We start from the raw sequence: 20877 nt of genomic DNA, 5'->3' as shown, positions 1-20877 counted from the left end.
CTGTCTGTAGCGACGGGGTGGTCCCTGATTGGTAATAATGAAAATGATAATAGGGAATACTGAGGGCATCACAGGGGCCATAGCCCCTTCCACGAACCCTGTGCCTGGTTCTCACTGAGCATGGAAGAAAGAACTCACAGTTCACATCAGCCCTCCAAGGCCCCCACTACTAGCAGCTCACCCTGGCATAACAATTTCAGAGGACTGACGAGGCCCTGGCTCACTCCCAGCAGTCCCTAAAGGTGCCCAGCACATCTTCTTACCTATTTACCTCTCTCTCCCTCTCTTGTCTTCTCCCTTCCTTTCCCTGGAGCAAGGAGGGAAAAAGAGATATCAGAATTTGAAGGATGTGAAAATTAGCCAGAGCTGAGAGAGGTGTCAACTTCAAGGGGGCTCCCCCATCCCCACCCCTTCTCTACTCAAACGGTGGTGTTTCCACAAGTCTCTGCAGGGAGACCCCCACCCCCTAGGTGTGGACTGACACTGTCAGGTGGGAGGAGAGAGAAGGAGGAGAGAAGGCTGCCCAGGAAGAACAGCAGCCCCAGCCCAGGAGTCTGTGCCCAGGATGGGACCTCCACCCAAGCCACACAGAGCTCAGGTTTGTGGCTGAGGCAAAATAGCCCGGAGGAGGGGATCTGTCTCACCTTCCTGATTCCAGCTTCCCTGGCCACAGCTGAACGTGTTGGGGCCAAGCTGGCTGACTTAAGGACAATTCTTTTCCCGAGAGTTGAGAGGGATCTAGGGCACTGTCCTTTATCCCAAAGTACCTTTCCAGCCCCACCTCTGGCCTGTCTGAAGGTCTTTTTGGAATTCCTGCCTCGATTTCCCCACCTCTCAAAGAGTGCCATGAGCTGGTCCTTGCTCTACCTTCTGGGAGTGGTCAGAGGAGCAGTGGGTGGGAGCTCCGGGAGAGGAAGCCCTGCCGCAGGAGCCCGTCCCCTCATCCTGTCTCTGTCATCGTTAACAGCCGTAATTATTATTACTTGGAGAGACAGACCAGAGGTGGTCAGGGACATGGTTGGGGTGAATGAAATGAAAAAGTCCTGGGTACGTGCCGTCTCGCCAGGTTAATACTCCTGCCTGTCGGCCTGACAGCTGCAAGATTGATTACCCAGGCCTCCCGCTCTTTATAACTCGATCAGTTGAATTAATCTCTGGCTGTCGGCCCATCTGATGCCTGAATCACAAATTTAATTTGGAGGTGCACAGCTCCTCCCCCATTCCGTCTCCCCCTTCCTCCCAGCTTCCCCCCTTCCTCCCCAGCTCATCCCGTCTTCCTCCTTCCTTTTCCTTTCCCGTTTCCTCCTCTCTCCTGCTCCACAGTTTCCTGTTCCTCTCGCTCTTCCTCTTCTCTGCAGCCTTTCAAGGCCCTCAAGGGGACAGTGGGTGGAGAGGAAGGAGGGAGAGGGGGAGTGGGTTGCCCTGAGTCAGCAGCCCCCTACCCAGACCAGGAGAGGGGTCATGTGCCCCCACCCACCGGGCGAGGTGCCCACCCCAGCATGCTCCACCCCAAACAGAGAAAGAGGCTTGGCTGACACTAAGTAAGACATATTAATGTACTAAAGACTTAATGAAGTTGGGGCGGGGGGGTGAGGGGTGGAAAGTGATTGCTTTATTAGTTTATGGCCGATTAATGGGGACGCCATTACTGTGATGGAGATGGATTGCTGCTGTCAGCAGCCTGGGCCGGGGCGGCCGCCGCTCCTTTCCACGGGTGGTGGGTGCCCCAAACAGAGTCAGAGAGAACTTCATTAGAAGCATCTACAGGATCCCACCTGGGAAGGGCCCAAGGCTAAGCTGGAAGGATGGCGACAGGGACTCAGCTCTAGGCTTTGGAGGGGAATTCCAAGGGGTCAGGGGCTGGGAGCTGACATCAGTTGGGATGGGGCAGTGGGGCTGTGCGGTGGCCTGGCTCTGGACCTGCACATGCGAGGGGTTCCATAGTCACCTGGGGAAAAGGAGGAAGGAAGATAACCACAGAATAACCAGTGCCCACTTGACCTGCCTGAGACACCTTCAGGATGAAGGGAGTGGAGAACAAGGGAAGCGGGCCCCATTCTTCTGCCCTTCCTTATTGGGAGCAGTGCACAAAGACCTGGGCCCACCAGCCCAGAGGAATGGGCAACCCACCAAGCAGCAAGGCTGCCTCTAACACTAGAATCCCCAGCTCCAGGGCCAGGGACTTCCCATACTCTCTAAGTAGATAGAGGTGAAAACCACATTGCCTCAGTTACCTCTGACCACTGCCCCCAGGCAGCCAATGGGAAGCAACGCCAAGGAAGGCGAGGAGTGGACTTCGGGGAGAGCGGACCTGGCAGACACCACCCAGCTCTGGGCTTTCTCCTTCAGGACTGGAGGTCCTGACACTGGGCAAGCTAACCCAGACACACCCCATCCCTTCATGCCTCCTTCTGGGACCCTGTTTTCTATGAAGAGGGAGAGTAAATGCTGGACCCAACACAGCTCTGCTTCAAGGGGCTGCTTTCTATTTGGAAGTCTCTAGGTTCCTCCAGACCTCAGGGTCTTCTATCAACTCCTGTCTCTCAGGCATATATGACATTTTGGCATGGCCATTTTGATGCAAAAACATTAAACTTTCAGGATTTTAAAAAATCAAGTTATGTGGCCAGGCATGGTGGCTCACGCCTGTAATCCCAGCATGTTGGGAGGCTGAGGTGGGAAGATCACTTGAGGTCAGGAGTTCGAGACCAGCCTGGCCAACATGGTGAAACCCTGTCTCTCTACCAAAAACAAACAAAAAAAAGTAGCTGGGTGTGGTGGGTGGGTGCCTGTAATCCTAGCTACTCGGGAAGCTGAGGCATGAGAATTGCTTCAATTAGGGAGATGGAGGTTGCAGTGAGCCAAGATTGCACAACTGCACTCCAGCCTGGGCAACAAAGTGAGAGTCCCTCTCAAAAAACAAAAAAATCAATTGATGTTCAAAATAGACAGTGCCAGCCCCTCCCTAGCGCCTACTCTGTCCTGAGGCCCTCCCAACCCAAACCCCATTTTGAGAGGCATCAGGGATGAAGATGGATTCCATATGGGCTCAGAACCACAGCCTGTTGACCAAAGTACATAGTACCACAAACACATTTTGATGCAAGTTAGGCAAAACAATAGTGGCAAAATGATAGAGCCAAAATTCCCTCTTTGGCCTCTTTGCCTGTTCCTCACCATGTGTGTAATTCTCGCTGAGTGTGTGTGCCCCACTTACAATGAGTTACTGTACATCCAAACGCCAGTCCATGAGTCATGGCTAGCACATGGTATCATGTGTCTGCATGCCCTACAAGGGCCTGTATCTGTGTATGCTTGGGTGTCCGTCCTCATCAAGGTGCGGGCACTCCCTGCTGGGCACCGTGGTCACCACTCTTTGCCTGCTCAGGCCAAGGACCAGCAATCGGTTTAGGGGTCATCACCCAGGCACACCCCCCAAAGGAAGAGCTACCTGCTCACACTAACTGGGAAATAAATACCCTGTTTCTGAGAGTAATTTAATTATTGGCTCCTGTGGACTAGTGGGTAATTAAATTCCGTAGCTCCCAAAGTAATTAATTGCTATGCAAATAGTAATGCCCTCTGCTTTGGAGAGAAGGATCCCGGCCTGAGTTTGCCCTGCAATTAGAAGCTAATAATTACCCTGTCAGTTCCCAGCTTTTGCCGGGTAATTACCTGCTGAAGCCCCACTGGTCACTGAGGGCTATTCCCATCAACTGCCACTGTAGCTCTGGCTCTGGTGGCCCCAAAAAGCCAGAGCAGGGGACCCCCAAGAGTGCTGGTTAATCCTGAGGTTCTCCCCATCCTACACCATGTCCACAAGCCCCAGGAGTCCCATAGAGACACACTTACTTCTGACCATGGGAAACTCAGGATGGGATCTCCTTAGCCTCCCTTTGCTAAGGAAGAGGTGCCCCATCTTCTCAATGGCTAGAATCCTGTCAGATAGGTTCACCCAGGCTGGAGTGCAGTGAGCCGAGATCAAGCCACTGCACTCCACCTCCCAGGTGGAGTTCAAGCCACTTGAACCTCCACCTCCCAGGTTCAAGCAATTCTCCTGCCTCAGCCTTCCGAGTAGCTGAGATTACAGATGTGCACTACCACACCTGGTTAATTTTTGTATTTTTAGTAGAGACAAGGTTTTGCCATGTTGATCAGGCTGGTCTCAAACTCCTGGCCTCATGTGATCTGCCCTCCTCAGCCTCCCAAAACAAAGCAGGCATTTTGCAGCTTCCGCACACCTTCTCCCAGGTACTCAATAAACACTAATCTAGGTCCTGCTGTAAAGGGGCTTTGAGGATGTAATCAAAGTCCCTAATCAGTTGGCTTTAAGTGAGGGAGGTTATCCTCCATGGGCCTGACCTAGTCAGATGAGCCTGTAAAGGGTCAGGGCTCTCCCTGATGAAGGATGCTCCAAACAGCAGCTTGGTGTAGAATTGTTCTCCCTTTGCTAGGTTCTCCCATCCCGACTGCCTGTGGACAGCAGCTTTGCTAGCACCCAGGGGGTTCCAGCTTGTTCCTGATCTTTCCTTCCTGACTGCTTGCCCTACAGATATCAGACTTACTTAGCCAACCCACACAATTGCATCAACCAGTTCCTTGAAATAAAATTTGGTATGTATTTAATAAAATTTATTTTATTATTTTTAGAGACAGGGTCTTGCTCTGTCACCCAGGCTGGAGTGCAGTGGTGCAATCACAGCTCACTGCAGCCTCAAACTCTCAGGCTTAAGCAGTCCTCCCACCTCAGCCTCTTGAGTAGCTGAGAGGTGCACACCACTGCGCACCACTGCAGGTGCACAGAGGTGCACACCACTGCAGCAAGCTAATTTTTATTTTTTATTTTTTGGTAGAGATAGGGTCTTGTTATGTTGTCCAGGATAGTCTCAAACTCCTGGCTTCAAGCAGTCCTCCCACCTCTGCCTCACAAAGCACTGGGAATACAGGCATGAGCTAACATGTTTGGCTCCCCCAAATTTTTTTTAATGAGCCAGGTGTGGTGACACATGTCCGAAGTCCTAACTACCTGGGAGGCTGAGATGGGAGGATCACTTGAGCCCAGAAGTTCAAGGCTGCAGTGAGCTATGGTTACACCACCGCACTCCAGCCTGGGTGACAGAGCAAGACTCTCTGTCTAAAAAACAAAACAGGACGGGCATGGTGGCTCATGCCTGTAGTTCCAGCACTTTGGGAGGCTGAGGCAGGCCGATAGCTTGAGTTCAAGAGTTCGAGACCAGCCTGGCCAACATGGTCAAACCCTGTCTCTAATAAAAATACAAAAATTAGCCAGGTGTGGTGGCGCATGCCTGTAGTCCCAGCTACTTGGAAGGCTGAGGCAGGAGAATCACTTGAACCCAGGAAGCGGAGGTTGCAATGAGCCGAGATCACGCCACTGCACTCCAGCCTGGATGACAGAGGGAGACTCCATCTCAATAAAATAAAATAAAATAAAAAAACAAAACAAAACAAAAAAAGTGGCTCACCAAAGATTCCCTAGCTAGTAAGTGGGAAAACAAGGTTTCTAGCCAGGCTCCCAAGTAGATTATAACTGCCCATTCAGTGTCAGGACCTGGCTCCAGGTCCCAAGTTCAAGGTAGGTTATACCTGTGCCCAATGAAAAGGTGCTTGTGGATCTCCCCAGCCATCTCATAACTCTCAAGCATCACTGTGGCTAAGCTGAGTTTTTGTTTCTGACCTGGATCTTGTCCCCTCTATCAGCCTCCTGGCCCTTTGTTCTGGGTTCTTATTGCTGTCCCTGATTCCTTCCTAAGGAGATGGGCCTGAGAGTGGCAGAGCCTATGTGCCTTCTAGGCTTTGGTCGCTCCCTTTGAGAAACAGCCAGACCCCACCCTCCAGGTCAGAAGTCTTCCAACTGAATCCCTGTGGAATATTGTCCTGATGTAGTCTCAGAGCCGAGGGACTCCCTAGGAAGCCGGATGCTGGGCAGGCTGTGGGTGGAGGGGTAGGGCTCATGGAGACTGACTGAAGGACTCTGAGCCAAGAATGGGTTTCAGGAGTCTGGGAAAGAAGTCTAGGGAGCACAGGGGCTCAGTGAGGGCAAAAATCCTCCCCAGCCCCTCAACTGGTACCTCACAGTTATCTTTCGGGTCTCAGCTGCAGGAAGCTCTCCCTCACCCACATGGGAGGGTAGGCCACATGCTCCGTGTTTCTTCTCTCCCATTCTCCGTCTTAGCCCAGGTGAGCAAAAGGGCAGAAGACCTAGGCAGAGGAAATAGACCTCACAGGTGACCAGCTCTCCTCAGTCCAGAGGACATGTCTAGGGCTGAAGCCTAGAAACGGGATGGCAGGAAGCACTATGGGCTTTGAGGCCAAAGTCTAGCCCTGTGAGTGCCTTGCCTTTGGTTCAGACACCCTAGGATTAGTGAACCATCCAAGGCAAGACTTCCGCACCACCACCAGGGAGGACAAGAGAAAAATGGGAGGCAGAGGATAGCCCTGGGAAAGCCAGAGGTGATCAACAAACAAGCTTCCTACGCTTCATATAGGGATGTGGGCAGAAACTACACACAGGGAAATACTCAAGCCTCTCCATACGAGATGGTTAAGGTCACTTGATATTGAGGGTCTCATCTATTTGGGAAAATCCAACCTGGAAGAGATCCCTTACCTCCACCGCCCAGGTTCACCTGACCTAGGCTCCCATGGCACAAGAAAAGTAATAGCGTCCCATGGTCTTGAGTCTGTGCCCTGACTTCTATTTCCAGCTTCTGCTCCAATTTAACTGCAGGAACTGGTGGGAATCATACTCCCACCTGTGCCTTTGTGAGGAGGTAATTTCTTGCTAGAGATTTTAGGACAAAAATGTCTAATCAGCCGGGCATGGTGGCTCACACTTGTAATCCCAGCACTTTGGGAGGCTGAGGTGGGTGGATCACTTGAGGTCAGGAGTTTGAGACCAGCCTGGCCAACATGGTGAAACCCCATCTCTACTAAAAATACAAAAAGTTGCCGGGCATAGTGGTAGGTGCCTGTAATCCCAGCTACTTAGGAGGCTGAGGCAGAAGAATCTCTTGAACCCAGGAGGCGGAGGTTGCAGTGAACAGAGATTGCACCACTGCACTCCGGTCTGGGTAACAGAGTAAGACTCTATCTCAAAAAAAAAAAAAAAAAAAAAAAGAAAGAAAAGTCTAATCATTTATAAGTCAGCAGTCTTCAGAGAACTCAGAGAGCACTCCGGAGGGTGGAAGCCACGTCTCCCCCATTGGACTAGAGGCTCCCTAAAAGGAGGAGCCTCCATGTCCCCTTTAAATAGGGACTCCCAAATGCAGTTGTATTTCTCTCTTATCTTCCCCCTCAGTGCCTTGCCTTGAGGTCTGCAAAACAGTGATTCTCAAAACAGAGTCCCTGTGAAGAAGCCCGGTAGGATCAGGGGTCTCAGAGCATGGCCAGGGCTGCCAGACACCCTCCACACAATATGGCCCCCTGCATAGGCTGGTGCAGTTGCTACTCCACTGACAGCTCTTTAGAATCCATTCAGAGTTTTGGCCCTGCTGTAATCTCTGGGTGATGAATATTTCCCCTAATGAACTGACAGGAATTGAATTAGGCTGGAATGCTTGTGTGCTTAGACTGTAGCTGATTAAACCCCCATCTGTGCAAGGCCTGCCTGTGAACAGCTTGTTACATACAATTTTTTAAAGGAGGGAAAAATGGTGTTGGTATTCAAGTTCTGCAAAGGAACAGGAGAGAAAGTGGAAGCATAATGTCAATCCAGGCTTTTAGCAGGATCTGGTTGCTTTTAATCTGATCAGGCCAGTACTCCCACCTTAGGGCACCTCCACTTTCCAGCCAACTTATCTCATGAGGAGGGACTTAGGCCAGGGGTCTTCAGGGCACAGGTACCTGCACCCTTCCCCAGGAGTCCTGCCCAGATCTCCTCTGAGCCCACAACTGTCTACCTCTTGCAAGGAGCATTTATTAAACAGGGAGTTGCTTTGGGGAAAGGTAGGAGAAGGAGAAGGTGTGAGAGCGAAGCCAGGCCTGTGGATTCAGTTCCCATCAGATGCAGCTCTAGCTCTTTGTTCTTCCTCCAAAATCATCTGGTCACCTTCATGGGAAATTGCAGGGAGTTTGGGGTAGGCACTCCGTCTGGGCTATTCGTGGGCCCTTTGTCAGTCAGGACCAAGGACAGCACCCCCACTATTTCAAGGATCACCAAACTTCCAGGTCCCTCCGCTTTTCCCTCTTCTTCCCTGCTAAACATTCCTCATTCTTCAAAACACCTTTTCCTTTTCCTTCTTGTTCCCTTCCTCTTATTCCTCCCTCTTCCTTCTCATTCCTTGTCCTTAATCCCAGGGACAGGGCCTGGCTTCTGATTCTTCACCACCAGGTACTTCACCCCAGGAATCCCTCAAGAAAAGTTATTTAGGCTGGGCACAGTGGTTCACGTCTGTAATCCCAGCACTTTGGGAGGCCAAGATGGGTGGATCGCTTGATCCCAGGAGGGAGAGACCAGCCTGGGCAACATGGTGAAACCCCATCTCTACAAAAAATTAGCTGGGCATGATGGTGTGTGCTGGTGGTCTCAGCTACACAGGAGGCTGAGGTGGGTGGATCACCTGAGCCTGGGAAGTCGGGGCTGAAGTTAGCCATGATCGTGCCACTGCACTCCATCCTGGGTGACAGAGTGAGACCTTGTCTCAAAAAAAGAAAAGTTATTTAAGCACCCCAAGAAGCCTATCCCACCAAACCTCTGTTAAAAGCCTTATTCCCACGACTGACTCTTACCCAAGCCATACAAGAACACACACGCCGAAATCTGGTGGTTAGCAGGAAGGAAGGTCAGGGTGATTGTTTCTGACAGACTGGCCAACTCCCCTTCTCCAGTGGAGCTCAGAATCAGCCCACCTGATTTGAGTACTCCCAGCACAACTGTGGCTCAAACACTACAGCCCTCTCCTCTCTTCACCTCTCCTCCCACCCTTATCCCTTTCCCTCCCTTCCCCCCGATCCTCTCCTCTGTGTCTCTATGAAAAGTGGCAGCAGCTGCTGAAGAAGGCAAATCCTTCAATGAGCATCAGCAATTGTAGTGACTGAATGTCCCAGCCTTCTTTCCCAGTTAATCTGACTTGGGAAGAGTTGAGGTGTGCTCTGGCTCTGCTGCCCATGAAAGGCAGAGAATAAATAACAAGCCAGAGGCATAAACAGATGTGCAGATATATGCAGCTGGCATTTCCCTGCCAAATTACTATGGACAGAATGCTGGCAGGGGGCCAGGATGCCTCCCTCCCTGTTTGGAGTTCCGCCACCAGGACCTATCCAAGCTCACCATCCATTTGGCAACATCTGAGTGAAGGGAAGGGATGCCAGGGAAGGGAGTGGGGAGGCTGCAGGTGCCCTTAGGTTTGGTGAAGAGCTCCAGAAGCTCATTCTAAAGACTCAGGTGGGTGGGAGTTAACATGGTGGGGAGGGATAGGGAGCTCTGACCAGGCCCTCCCTGTAGGTTCCCTAGGGTAGTCCCCTCAGGGTGTGGCTTGAGGGTCAATTCTTATCATAGTATATGGCTCTGTGTTTCCACCCTCCCACTCACTCAAGGATTGGGTGTTCTTTGATCTTGGATCATATATGGCATTCCTCGGAGTTGGCATGGAGTACAGGGGGCAGGCACCAGCTGGTTAAGAGCCCATCAGAAACTATGCAGAACCAAAAGATGTCCCTACAGGCTGGGCTCAGTGGCTCACACCTCTAATCCCAGCACTTTGGAAGGCCAAGGCAGGCAGATCACCTGAGGTCAGGAGTTCGAGACCAGCCTGGCCAACATGGTGAAACTCCGTCTCTACTAAAAATACAAAGTTAGCTGGGCATCGTGGCACATGCCTGTAATCCCAGCTACTTAGGAGGCTGAGGCAGGAGAATCGCTTGAACTCAGGAAGCAGAGGTTGCAGTGAGGTGAGATCGCACCACTGCACTCCAGCCTGGGACAGAGTGAGACTCTGTCTCAAAAAAAAAAAAAAAAAAAAGATGTCCCTAGAGACTCTAGCTCTGGAACAAGAAACCGCACTTGGAATTACTGTGCAAGTAGCAAAGCAAGTGGGCAGGGAGAGAAAGAATGAGCTAGAAGGAATGTTGCCCAAGGGGGTCTCTCTATGGCTAGCCCCAGATCTGAGTTCAGAGAGACACCAAGCCACCTTCTGGGCTTCATTCAGATCACAAAGGGTCTTTTCTCTTATTAATTTGCCTTTCTTATGCCAGGCCATCTCATGCAGATTTGAGTGGCATGGAAAAGTTTTTCCAGTGCCTGATTATTGCCCTTGCTCCATATAAGGTTCTGCAGATTTCTGACTTTATGGGGATGGGTGATGTCTGCTCTGATGAGCCATGGCATTATGACAGATCTTGAATGGTCTCAATTCTGTAGGCAGTGGGGAGCCAAAGAATTATATGATAAAAATAAGTGGCCTAAAAAGACCAGACTGGGAGTGGAGTGGAAGGATGGGTTGGAGGAATGAGAGATGCAGAGTGGGGAGGCTAGTTAAGAGCCTGTTGTCATTCAGGCCTGATGATGGAATCCTGAGCTATGCAGAGGCAAAGGAACAGAGGGAAGAGTGGAAAAACAACTGCTGGGACTTTGTGATGAACTGAACAGGAATCAGATGAAGAGAGATAATGTGGGCACATAATTTATCATGCAATCTAGAACAGTTTTGAGCATAAATGGAGTTCTAGCAATGATTTTACCAAGACAATAGACATGAACTGTGGACAACTCTGGGCAAATCTGAACACACAGATGCCTTGGTCAAAGATGACTCAAAGTATGATGTTTGGGCAAAAGCATGTGTAGGAATGATGCTGACCAAAGCAAGGAGGCTGGGAGGCAGAGTAGCAGGATGGGAAAAGAGGGAACAATGCCCTTGGCATTGGACTTGTCAAGTTTGAAGCACTTAGAGACATTCACCTTGCAATAACCAGCAGGCCACCCTCTTCCAAGCATCCATGGGTGTTTGCTTGGCAATGTGTGTTTCAAACTTGAAGGACAGTCAGGGTTAGATATAGTGCTTTTTTTTTTTTGAGACAGAGTCTCGCTCTATTGCCCAGGCTAGAGTGCAGTAATGCGATCTGGGCTCACTGTAACCTCTGCCTCCCAGGTTCAAGCAATTCTCCTGTCTCAGCCTCCTGAGTAGCTGGGATTACAGGCATGCAAGCCTAGCTAATTTTTGTATTTTTAGTAGAGACAGGGTTTCACCATATTGGTCAGGCTGGTTTTGAACCCCTGACTTCAGGTGATCCACCGGCCTCGGCCTCCCAAAGTGCTGGGATTACAGGCGTGAGCCACTGCACCTGCCTAGTGCATATTTTTTGACTCACAGATGCCACTTCTAGAAACGTTAATCTCAGGAAATATTCATTCTTGTACCAAAAAATGACATGTATTAAAGCAGGATCATTGTGGCATCGCTTGGAAATAACCTAAAGGTCTATGAATAAAGAATTGGTTCAATCTATTCTGGAGTGTCATGTGAAATATATCCACACATATTGAGGTATATCCATATATGACCTAGAAAATATCTCTGGTATTTTTTTTTTTTTTTTTTTTTTCTTGAGACGGAGTCTTACTCTGTCACCCAGGCGGGAGTGCAGTGGCGCGATCTCGGCTCACTGCAAGCTCTGCCTCCCGGGTTCACGCCATTCTCCTGCCTCAGCCTCCTGAGTAGCTGGGACTACAGGCGCCCGCCACCACTCCCGGCTAATTTTTGTATTTTTGTATTTTTTTATTTTATTTTATTATTATTATACTTTAAGTTTTAGGGTACATGTGCACAATGTGCAGGTTAGTTACATATGTATACATGTGCCATGCTGGTGTGCTGCACCCATTAACTCGTCATTTAGCATTAGATATATCTCCCAAAGCTATGTATTTTTTTTTAGTAGAGACAAGGTTTCACCATGTTAGCCAGGATGGTCTCGATCTCCTGACCTCATGATCCGCCCGCCTCAGCCTCCCAAAGTGCTGGGATTACAGGCGTGAGCCACCGTGCCTGGCCCATCTCTGGTATTTTTAAGTGAAAAAGGCAAATTGCAAAATAATAGTATGACACGATAAATATACAGTAATTGTTTTAAACCCTATTTTTGTGTGTGTCTATATGGTGACTATGTAAGAGACCTAGAAGACTACACACTGAATTGTTAACAGTAGTTGCTTATGGAAAAGGGAATAGAATTAGAGGGAAAGAGAAAGGCTTTCACTCCTTTATACAATACAGAAGTTTGACATCGAATTTTTTTCTTGAGATAGGGTCTCAGTCTGTCGCCCAGGCTGGAGTGCAGTGGCCTGATCATGGCTCACTCAGCCTTCAACTCCTGGGCTTGAATGATCCTTCCACTTCAGCCTCCTGGGTAGCTGGGACCACAGGTGTGCACCACCATGCCTGGCTGATTTTTGTATTTTTTGTAGAGATGGGGTCTTGCTGTGTTGCCCAGGCAGGTCTCCAACTTCTGAGGTCGAGTGATCTACCTGCTTCAGCCTCCCAAAGTGCTAGAATCACAGGCGTGAGCCAGCACGCCTGGCCAAAATGGAAATTTTTATAAGCGTATGTTCCTAGACTACATTTTTAAAGTAAAGGACCAAAAAAAAAAAAGGATTTTTTAAACACAGACTAAGGAGTTATTAAGGGGATAGGTGAAGCCCTAGGAGTGGGTGAAACCAGAGACTGGGGCTGAAACTTGAGACCTATTCCCACAGATGGGAAGCTGGGAGCAAGGAGACAAGGCCAGAAAAGAAACCCCAGAGGGTGGCCAAAGAGGGTGGAAATCACTTCTGACTCCCAAGGCTAGGGAGATAGAATCTCCACCTCACACGTAAGGCTGCCCTCATCAGTCTCTCCAAACTCCAACCATCCCCTTCAGGAGAACAGAGCTATACAAGAGCCCAGCTTTGTTCCAGGGCCGTGATGTGTCCTCGGTGACCCACAGCCGTTCCAGACTCAGAGCTGTTAGAGAAAAGTCCAGCTCTATGTTAACTGCCACATCAACCCAGAAGATCAGCTCAATCCTAGGCACCACCTAGGGTGACCCAGCCCCAGCCTAGGTGGCCCCACCCTGGGTAGTCCTGACTTTTTCCTACTTCTCTCATCTTCCCTAATGCTGTCAAAACTTGCAGTACTTCTCCAGGTGAAAAAAATAATAGCCAGAAATTAATTCCATCTTGGGGAGCAGGGCTGTGTGTGTGTATTGTGGGGGGTGGCGGGGATGGACAGAGAGCAGCTTGACTCACAGAGCTCCTCCCCTGGGGAGATGGAACCTGACAGACAGGGGTGTGGGATGCATCGAGGTGACTTCCTGACAAGGCTGTCAGCACGTTTCACTCTTCACTCTCAGCAGCAGGTCCCCTGCAGCTAAGTCGGCTTCTTTTTCTCTGTCTCCACCTCTCTCAGGCTGACTCTCTTCCCCCTGCCAGTGCCTCTTCTCCCCATTGGGAAGCCCTTTCCAGTGCACACTTCCTATCTTGGTGCTCCACTTCCCACCTCTGTTAGGCTCTTCTTTTAACAGAAATGCATAGAGTCAGCTTTTCTATTAGGGTGCCCTAGCCCCTGCGTCCTTCCCAAACACAGCAAATTTTATAGTTGATTGGGAGTCCAGGGATGTACACAGCACATGGGGGCAAGGAGACAGTGTGCACACACGTGTGTGTGTGTGTGTGTGAGAGAGAGAGAGAGAGCACCTTTTGGTCCGTGTGTATGCTGCTAGTGGAGGGAGGGGTTCAGAATGTGTATGTGCTGGAGGAGGGCACAGATGGCCCTAACCAAGGTTCCTCAGGTCGTAGAAAGATTATAGATATCAGTACCAGCATTGTCTATAGAGTTTGTCTCATCAGCAGCCCCCTCCCCAGTTTGTAAGTGAGAAAGCTGAGGTCCAGAGAGGTTAAGTAACTTATCTTCCATCACACAGTTAGCTAGTGGTAGAACTAGGGTTAAAACCCAGGAATTCTGACTCATGGACAATACTGTGTTCACAACTCTCTCAGAGACCTTAGAGAAAAGGTCCTATATCTCAGACACCACAAAGGTGACAGATGCCCAGGCAACAAGATGTTGCCCATCTCTACAAAAAAAAAAATTAAAAATCAAAAAAATAAATAAATAGCTGGGGCTTGGTGGCATGCACCTGTAGCCCCAGCTACTCAGGAGGCTGAGGCAGGAGGATCCCTGCAGCCCAGAAGTTCAAGGCTGCTGTGAGCTATAATCACACCACTGCACGCCAGCCTAGGAGACAGAGACTTTGTCTCAAAAAAATTAAATTAAATTAAATTAAATTAAATTAAAATTAAAACTTAAAAGATGAGGCTGGGCGCAGTGGTGCATGCCTGTAATCCCAGCACTTTGTGAGGTCGAGGCAGGTGGATCACGTGAGGTTGGGAGTTTGAGACCAGCCTGGCCAACATGTCTCTACTAAAATTACAAAAATTAGCTGGGTATGATGGCACATGCCTGTAATCCTAGCTACTCGGGGGGCTGAGGCATGAGAATCACTTGAACCCAGGAGGCAGAGGTTGCATTTAGCTGAGATGGTGCCACTGCACTCCAGCCTGGGCTACAGAGAAAGACTCTGTCTCAAAAAAACAAAAACAAAAACAAACAAAAAAACCTTAAAGATGATAGATTTGACTAACAACTTCTTAAAGTGGTGGGAAAATCTAGAATCTCCTGGCCTTCAGGCTGCCCAGGGGATAGGCCGGGCCCTGTCTCACTCTCTGTGTCCCCACCAGCCCCAGCGGTGACAGCAACCCCTCTCCTTTCCATCCCCGCTGATTATCTCCTGACAGAGTTCTCCTTGGCTGGGTGTTTCTTACAGATCCTTATTCTCCCCCACCGGCTGCCTCATCCAAGGACCCAGCCCAAGACAAATTGGTCTTCCCCTTACCCAAGCTCTGGTTCCAGCCACTGCTTAGGGGCTTGCTTGACTTTTTCGAGTGTCCTCTGTTGCCCAGCCCAAATCTGAAGTCCCCTTTGAGCCACAGCTCCTTGGCATTGGAATCATTTGACTGCTCCAGGAATGACCCAAGACATCTTCCCCTTCATTGATTGGAAGAAAAATTGGTTCTTAACACAAGCTCTGTTCATTTGACAGCAACATGAAACGCCAGCACGGGGCGGCCACCCCCTCTACCCCTGCCTAGCATGCTGTAAGTTCTGCGGGTCCCCTTGAAGAGCTCATATATGAAGATTGTCTTCCCCGCCACGCTCTACCCCCAACCCCTGCCAGGAGCCTCTGCTATGAGGGAATGGTGGTGAGTACGGCAGGCTTCTCCTATCGCTCTAATTGCCTCTCCCACCTGCCCGCAGCTCCCCCAGGAAGAGGGGTGGAAAGAAGGGTGCGGAAAAGAGGTTGGCAGAGCAATAAAATGTCAGGGCCTTTCCTCTCTGCTCCCTCTTGTGGCTCTGGAAGCGTCACGCTTTCTCCCCTCTCCCCTCTCCCCATCTCCATCTCCTCCCCTTCCCTCTTTCTCCTCGGCAGCCCCCATGCAACCGCTGCTGAGGCAATGGCATTTGGGGGATGAGGCGGGAGAGGTTAATTATTGCTCCCTCGCCCCCCACGCCCCCCCCCCACAAGATGTATCTGACTGTCAGAAGGGGTGACAGATGAAGACAAAGTACAGGTACGGCACAAACCGGCCCTCCTTGTACCAGCCAGGGGTGGGGGTGGAGGGGGGCGCGCTACAGAAATTTTAACCCCTCCGACGCTGGTTCACATAGCAGGGAGGGGCGGCGGGAGTCGGGGAAGCTGGAGTTAGAACCTGGGTCCTGATGAGGGCCGGCTGAACCCAGAAAACCTGTGGGGCCTCTTGCCTTGCTACAGTGATCTGAGGTGGGGGGCTAGATTGCGGGGAGCGACTGTCCCAGAGGCTACAGAATCAAGGTCACAAGCAATCATTCAGAGAACTTTACAGGAACAGAGAAAGGGGCTCATGGAGTAGCCTAGATCAATTTGGGGACTCAGGAACCCCAGTAAAAGGGAGCGTTCCACCACTCTTTCACCTTCTCCGTGACAATGTCCCCCTCACATGTCTGTCCCCAAGGCTGCTTGTCAGGGTGTGGGTGTGCCTGTGTATTTGAGAATGAGCGTCTGTGTAATTTTGTGTCTGAGACTGCGTGTACTTCCGATGATGTAATGCAATAGGCTTGGAAGTACTGGCCTACATTGGGGTTGTGTGTGTGCGTGCATGCACCTGTGTGAACGGGTGTATGCATACACACCCACGGGTGCTTGGAAGGTGTTTAAGGGTACTGTGATGTGCCTGTACTGTGAGCACAATGTGCTGTGAGTGTGCATGACAGAGAGTGCTTCTGTCTGTAAGTGTGGCTGTGGCGAAGGAGTGTGTGTCAGGAGAATGTGGATGTGTGCGTGCAAGTACTGAAGTGTCTGCATTTGGGACTGTACACACGTGTGCTAGTGTGAGAGATATGTGGACGTGGATTATGGTGTAAGTGTGAGCATGGTTGTGTGTGCACGCAAGCTGTGTGCACACTGGGCTTGAGACTGCAGCCTCTTCCTCTCACTGGCGTCCCTCCCTTTCCTGACTCCCCTCTCTCCATAAGCAAACAAGGTGAAATAATTACTTTTCCATTTAAACGCCCCATGTTCAAGCCAGAATGAAAACAAAGTGATTTAATAAAATTGTCTTTAAAAGGGAAAAGAGGAAAATAAATGTCTGCTCTGCTCCCCTCCCTGGCATTCAGGGAGGCCCCAAGCCCTTCAAAGTTAATTAAAACAGAAACTAAAATCACAGAATCACTTCCCAATCCTTTTCCCATCTCTCTCTGCCTTAAAGGTAAGGCAGCCCCAGAACCGCTGCCTCAGCCCTGTGCCTGGAGGGTTCCTCCTGTTTTAAGTTTCGACTTCCCCCAGGACCAACCCTCACTCTCAGCAGGCACCTTGGCCTTCCTGCACACATGTCTGGGGGAGGCAGCTCCGTCCCTATTTCCCTCCTCCCAAAGAGTCATTAAAGGCTTTGTCTGGTCATTTGAAGTCCTTGATGGACACTGGTCCCCATCAGAAGCTTCCGGCCTTGCCTCCTCCCAGGACACAGCCGGCCCTCAGCCCTGCTGCTCCCCCGCCCCAGGTCCCTTGAGCCTCCAGCTGCTCTGAGCTTTATCTGTCTTCACTGACCCCCTGGCCCAGTCCTCAGCTCCAGCCCAGCACAGTTCCGGCTGCTTCCGCCTGGTCTGTATCTGTTCCCCATCAGAGGCCCCATTGGAGCTCTAGCCCTTCATCAGCCCAGATAAAAGAGATGGATGGAGGTGACTTTGGGGGATGCCCCTCCTCACAAGCCCAGAGGTAGAGCCCTGGGTTCTGACAAGGGCTCCCTGAGGAGGGTTAGGGGTGGGGGTGAAGACTGCTGAGCTCTCTGGAAGCCCAGTCCCTGCCCATCTCTATCCTGCCTCCGCCTTTCCCCTTTTCCTAAGGCCCAATTCCTAAGGCCTCCTCCAGGCAGATGCCAAGACTGCAATCACCCCATTCTCCAACACACCCACTTCAGCAGGAAGCTCTGCACTGGGCACCCTGCCCCCATCTCCATGCAGATCATCTACCCCAAAATAGTAATGCATAGTAAAACTGACGTTTATTGAGCACCTATTTTGTTACAGACACATTGCTTATAAGATCTCTAATCCTTATCACAACCCCTATGGAGTAAATTTTATCACTATATTGCAGAAGAGGACACAGAAGAAGGAAGGTTAAGAAACCTACCCAATGTACGCACTTAAAAAGCAGAACTGGCTGCGTGGGTGGTGCATGACTGTACTCCCAACTACTCAAGAAGCTGAGGCGGGAGGATTGATTGCTCCAGCTCAGGAGTTCAAGGGTGCAGTGAGCCATGATTGTGCCACTTTAGTCTGGGCGACAAAGTGACACCCTGACTTAAAAAAAAAAAAAAAAGAAAAAAAAAGCAGAACTGAAACTCAATCCCATACTGCAAAACCTCCTATGCAAAGACCCACCATTACCCTTCAGAGATTACTCCCCCCAGAAACCCCCCACTAATGCCCCCAGAACTTAACCCCTCTGACACCAAGGAGTTAGGCCCAGGAGAACTGTGAGGCCTTCTCCAGCCCTACTCCAGCTCTCGGGGTGGGGGTAGCAGGAAGCAATTGTCCCTAGAGTCCTCAACCCTTATCCTGGGAGACTCCATTACTTCCCTCAAGCTGTCACCACTTCTCATAGAGACCCTGTCTTTTCTTCCAGGGGACTCCAGCCCTCATTTCAGTGAAGATACTGAGTACTTCAAGGTGCTCCCCACCAAGAGGATGGGATGAGATTTGATTGTGGGGTAACTCTTGTCACCGCAACTGGACTTTCATAACTGTCCACCCTGTCCAGAGAGCCTTTAGTTGCCGAAATGGCAGAGTAAATGTCAAAACCAAATCCAGGCCAGGCACAGTGGCATGCACCTATAGTCCCAACTACTCGGGAGGCTGAGGCAGAAGGATCTCTTGAGCCCAGGACTTCAAGTCCAGTCTGGGCAACATAGCAAGACCGTGCCTCTAAAAATAAATCAATCAGAAAAATAAATCTAGGCCAGGAACTAGCTTGCGTTTTTAGCACATCCCACCCGCACCCCACTCCCTAACCAGCGAGGACACAGCCCAGGGATCTAAGGCCTCAACCCTGGGGGAAAAAAAGAGGCCCTGAAGAAAGGGGAAAAAGGCAGTGAAGGGGCAGAAACTCTGGAAGTCCAGCAAGGGAGGGTGAGAAGGAAGGGGAGAGGTATGAAAATTACCATAGACCAAGGGTTGGGGTGGCACCTGGTGACTCCCGGACTTGACTGCATCTGGAAAGCATCTAGCAAAAGCAGGGAAAGGAAGAAATGATTCAGAAGCACCTTCCCACTTCAGTCCTAGAAATGTGTGTGTTGGTGGAGTGGGTGGATATTCTATGACCTTTTCCAGATCTATGCCCCACCCTTGTTTGAACGCCTTGGGCTGAGCCCAAACTGGAAGCTGGTAATGGCAGCCAGGTAGGTGATGACCCAGGTGGCTGGGACAAGGCTTCATGGGACGCTGGTATTGTGAGCCCTGCCCCACCTCGCCCACCACTTAAGTGAGTCACCTAAGCCAGGCCAGGCCCTGGAGCCTTAGCTCTCCTCTGCCCCCAGCACATCTGGGAGCCAGCTTCAGCAGAGAGAGGGCTAAACTGGGGCCCAGCATGGGGAAGGGAGGTGGGGGTGGGGAGGGAGGGATGACTCCCTCAAGATGGCTTCCAGGCTCCACCCCCAGACAGGTGTATCCCTGCCACCAGAGCCTCTATCTCTGCCCTGTCCCCACCCCAACTCCATCCCCAATCCCAACCTCATTACTCACTTCTGCCCCCTTCTCTATCCCACCACCCCATCCCTCCCCAAGTGTCCTCAAACCGCCCCTCATTATCTGCAAGTGACTCCCAGAGCTCACTGCCTCCCAGAACTGATCCCTCCTGGTCTCTAAGTGCCCTCATCACTGCCCTCAGAGAACCTAGCCTCTTACCCCAGCCTCCCAGACCCCGCTCCCACCCTTCCCCAGCACTGAGCAGAGGCAAGACTTGATGTGCACTAACAGTTCCTTACCACGCGTGGACTTACACAGCTGTTCCCGGTTTAGAAAGAATTCAGTCATTCAGAAGGCTGAGGAAATAACCACAGTGCATCCTAGGAGGCAACAGGCCTATGTCTCTAGTTTCTTTCCCTCTGCCCTCAGCTGCCTTCATGCTCAGAATAGAGTACCAGGTGACAGGACCAGTGATTGTGAGTAAAAAACCAGGGAATCTCCAGGCCTACCAGAGTTTAGGCCTATCTACTCCTCGCATATACACATATTAGACAGTATTATATGTGCATGTGAGCATAATCCTGGAAATATAAACATACCTAACTAATGTAAGTATACATACACATCTTAGACTGGAATCCAAGTTCCATGAGGGCAGGAACAATTTTCTGTTAAGGCTCTGTCACCCAGGCTGGAGTGGTGCAATCATAGCTTACTGGCAGCCTTGAACTCCTGGCTCAGGCAATCCACCTTCCTTAGCTGCCGGAGTAGCTAGGATTGCAGGTGTGCGCCATCACACCCAACAAATTAAAAAAAATTTTTTTTTTGTAGAGATGGGGCTTCACTATATTACTCAGTCTGGTCTCGAACTCCTGGGCTCAAGCAATCCTCCTACCTCAGCCTCCCAAGTGCTTGGGTTACAGGCAATTTTTTTCCCATGATGTAGCCCCAGTGCTGGTACATAACAAGTATTTGTAGAAAGAATATGACACAGCCAGGCATCATGGCTCATGCTTGTAATTCCCAGCTACTCAGGAGACTGAGGCAGGAGGATCACTTGAGCCCAGGAGTTTGGGGCTGCAGTGAGCTATGAAAGTGCTACTGTATTCCAGCCTGGGTGACAGAGCAAGATCCTGTCTCTAAAAAAAGAAAGAAAGAAAGAAAGAATGATACATAATGGAATATATACTTGAAAATAAATGTCTATACATATACATATAACAATACATACAGTTGCAGTCAAGTCCAGGAGTCTCCAGGTGCCACCCCAACCCTTGGTCTATAGTAATACTCATACCTCCCCCCTTCCTTCTCACCCTCCCTTGCTGGACTACCAGGGTTTCTGCCCCTTCACTGCCTTTTTCCCCTTTCTTCAGGGCCTCTTTTTTTCCCCAGGGTTGAGGACTTTTGCACACACATACATACATACAAAACCTACATGTAGGCCAGGCATGGTGGCTCACGCCTGTAATCCCAGCACTTTGGGAGGCCGAGGCAGGCAGATCACTGGAGATCAGGAGTTCAAGACCAGCCTGGCCAACATGGTGAAACCTCGTCTCTACTAAAAATACAAAAAATTAGCTGGGCATGGTGGTGTACGCCT

The 20877-nt window shown here is 50.4% G+C and overlaps 3 annotated features.

The window, feature by feature from the left end:
• Nucleotides 8000-8294: a silencer, noted in NCBI's record as "tiled region #9711; HepG2 Repressive non-DNase unmatched - State 21:Repr, and K562 Repressive non-DNase unmatched - State 22:ReprW". NCBI's record gives its function as "represses a minimal TATA promoter and a strong SV40 promoter by Sharpr-MPRA in HepG2 and K562 cells {active_cell/tissue: HepG2 | K562}" and the evidence as "EXISTENCE:reporter gene assay evidence [ECO:0000049][PMID:27701403]".
• Nucleotides 8027-8227: a silencer, noted in NCBI's record as "peak1075 fragment used in MPRA reporter construct". NCBI's record gives its function as "represses an SCP1 promoter by STARR-seq MPRAs in K562 erythroleukemia cells {active_cell/tissue: K562}" and the evidence as "EXISTENCE:reporter gene assay evidence [ECO:0000049][PMID:32103011]".
• Nucleotides 18338-19537: an enhancer, noted in NCBI's record as "CDK7 strongly-dependent group 2 enhancer chr10:102829506-102830705 (GRCh37/hg19 assembly coordinates)". NCBI's record gives its function as "activates an origin of replication core promoter dependent on BRD2, BRD4, P300/CBP, MED14 and CDK7 cofactors, with strong dependence on CDK7, by STARR-seq in HCT116 cells {active_cell/tissue: HCT116}" and the evidence as "EXISTENCE:reporter gene assay evidence [ECO:0000049][PMID:35650434]".

The sequence above is a fragment of the Homo sapiens genome, chromosome 10, assembly GCF_000001405.40.
Source record: "Homo sapiens chromosome 10, GRCh38.p14 Primary Assembly".
Taxonomy (NCBI): Eukaryota; Metazoa; Chordata; class Mammalia; order Primates; family Hominidae; genus Homo; species Homo sapiens.
Note: the sequence above shows the minus strand (reverse complement) of the source record. Positions and strands in the feature narration are given on the sequence as shown.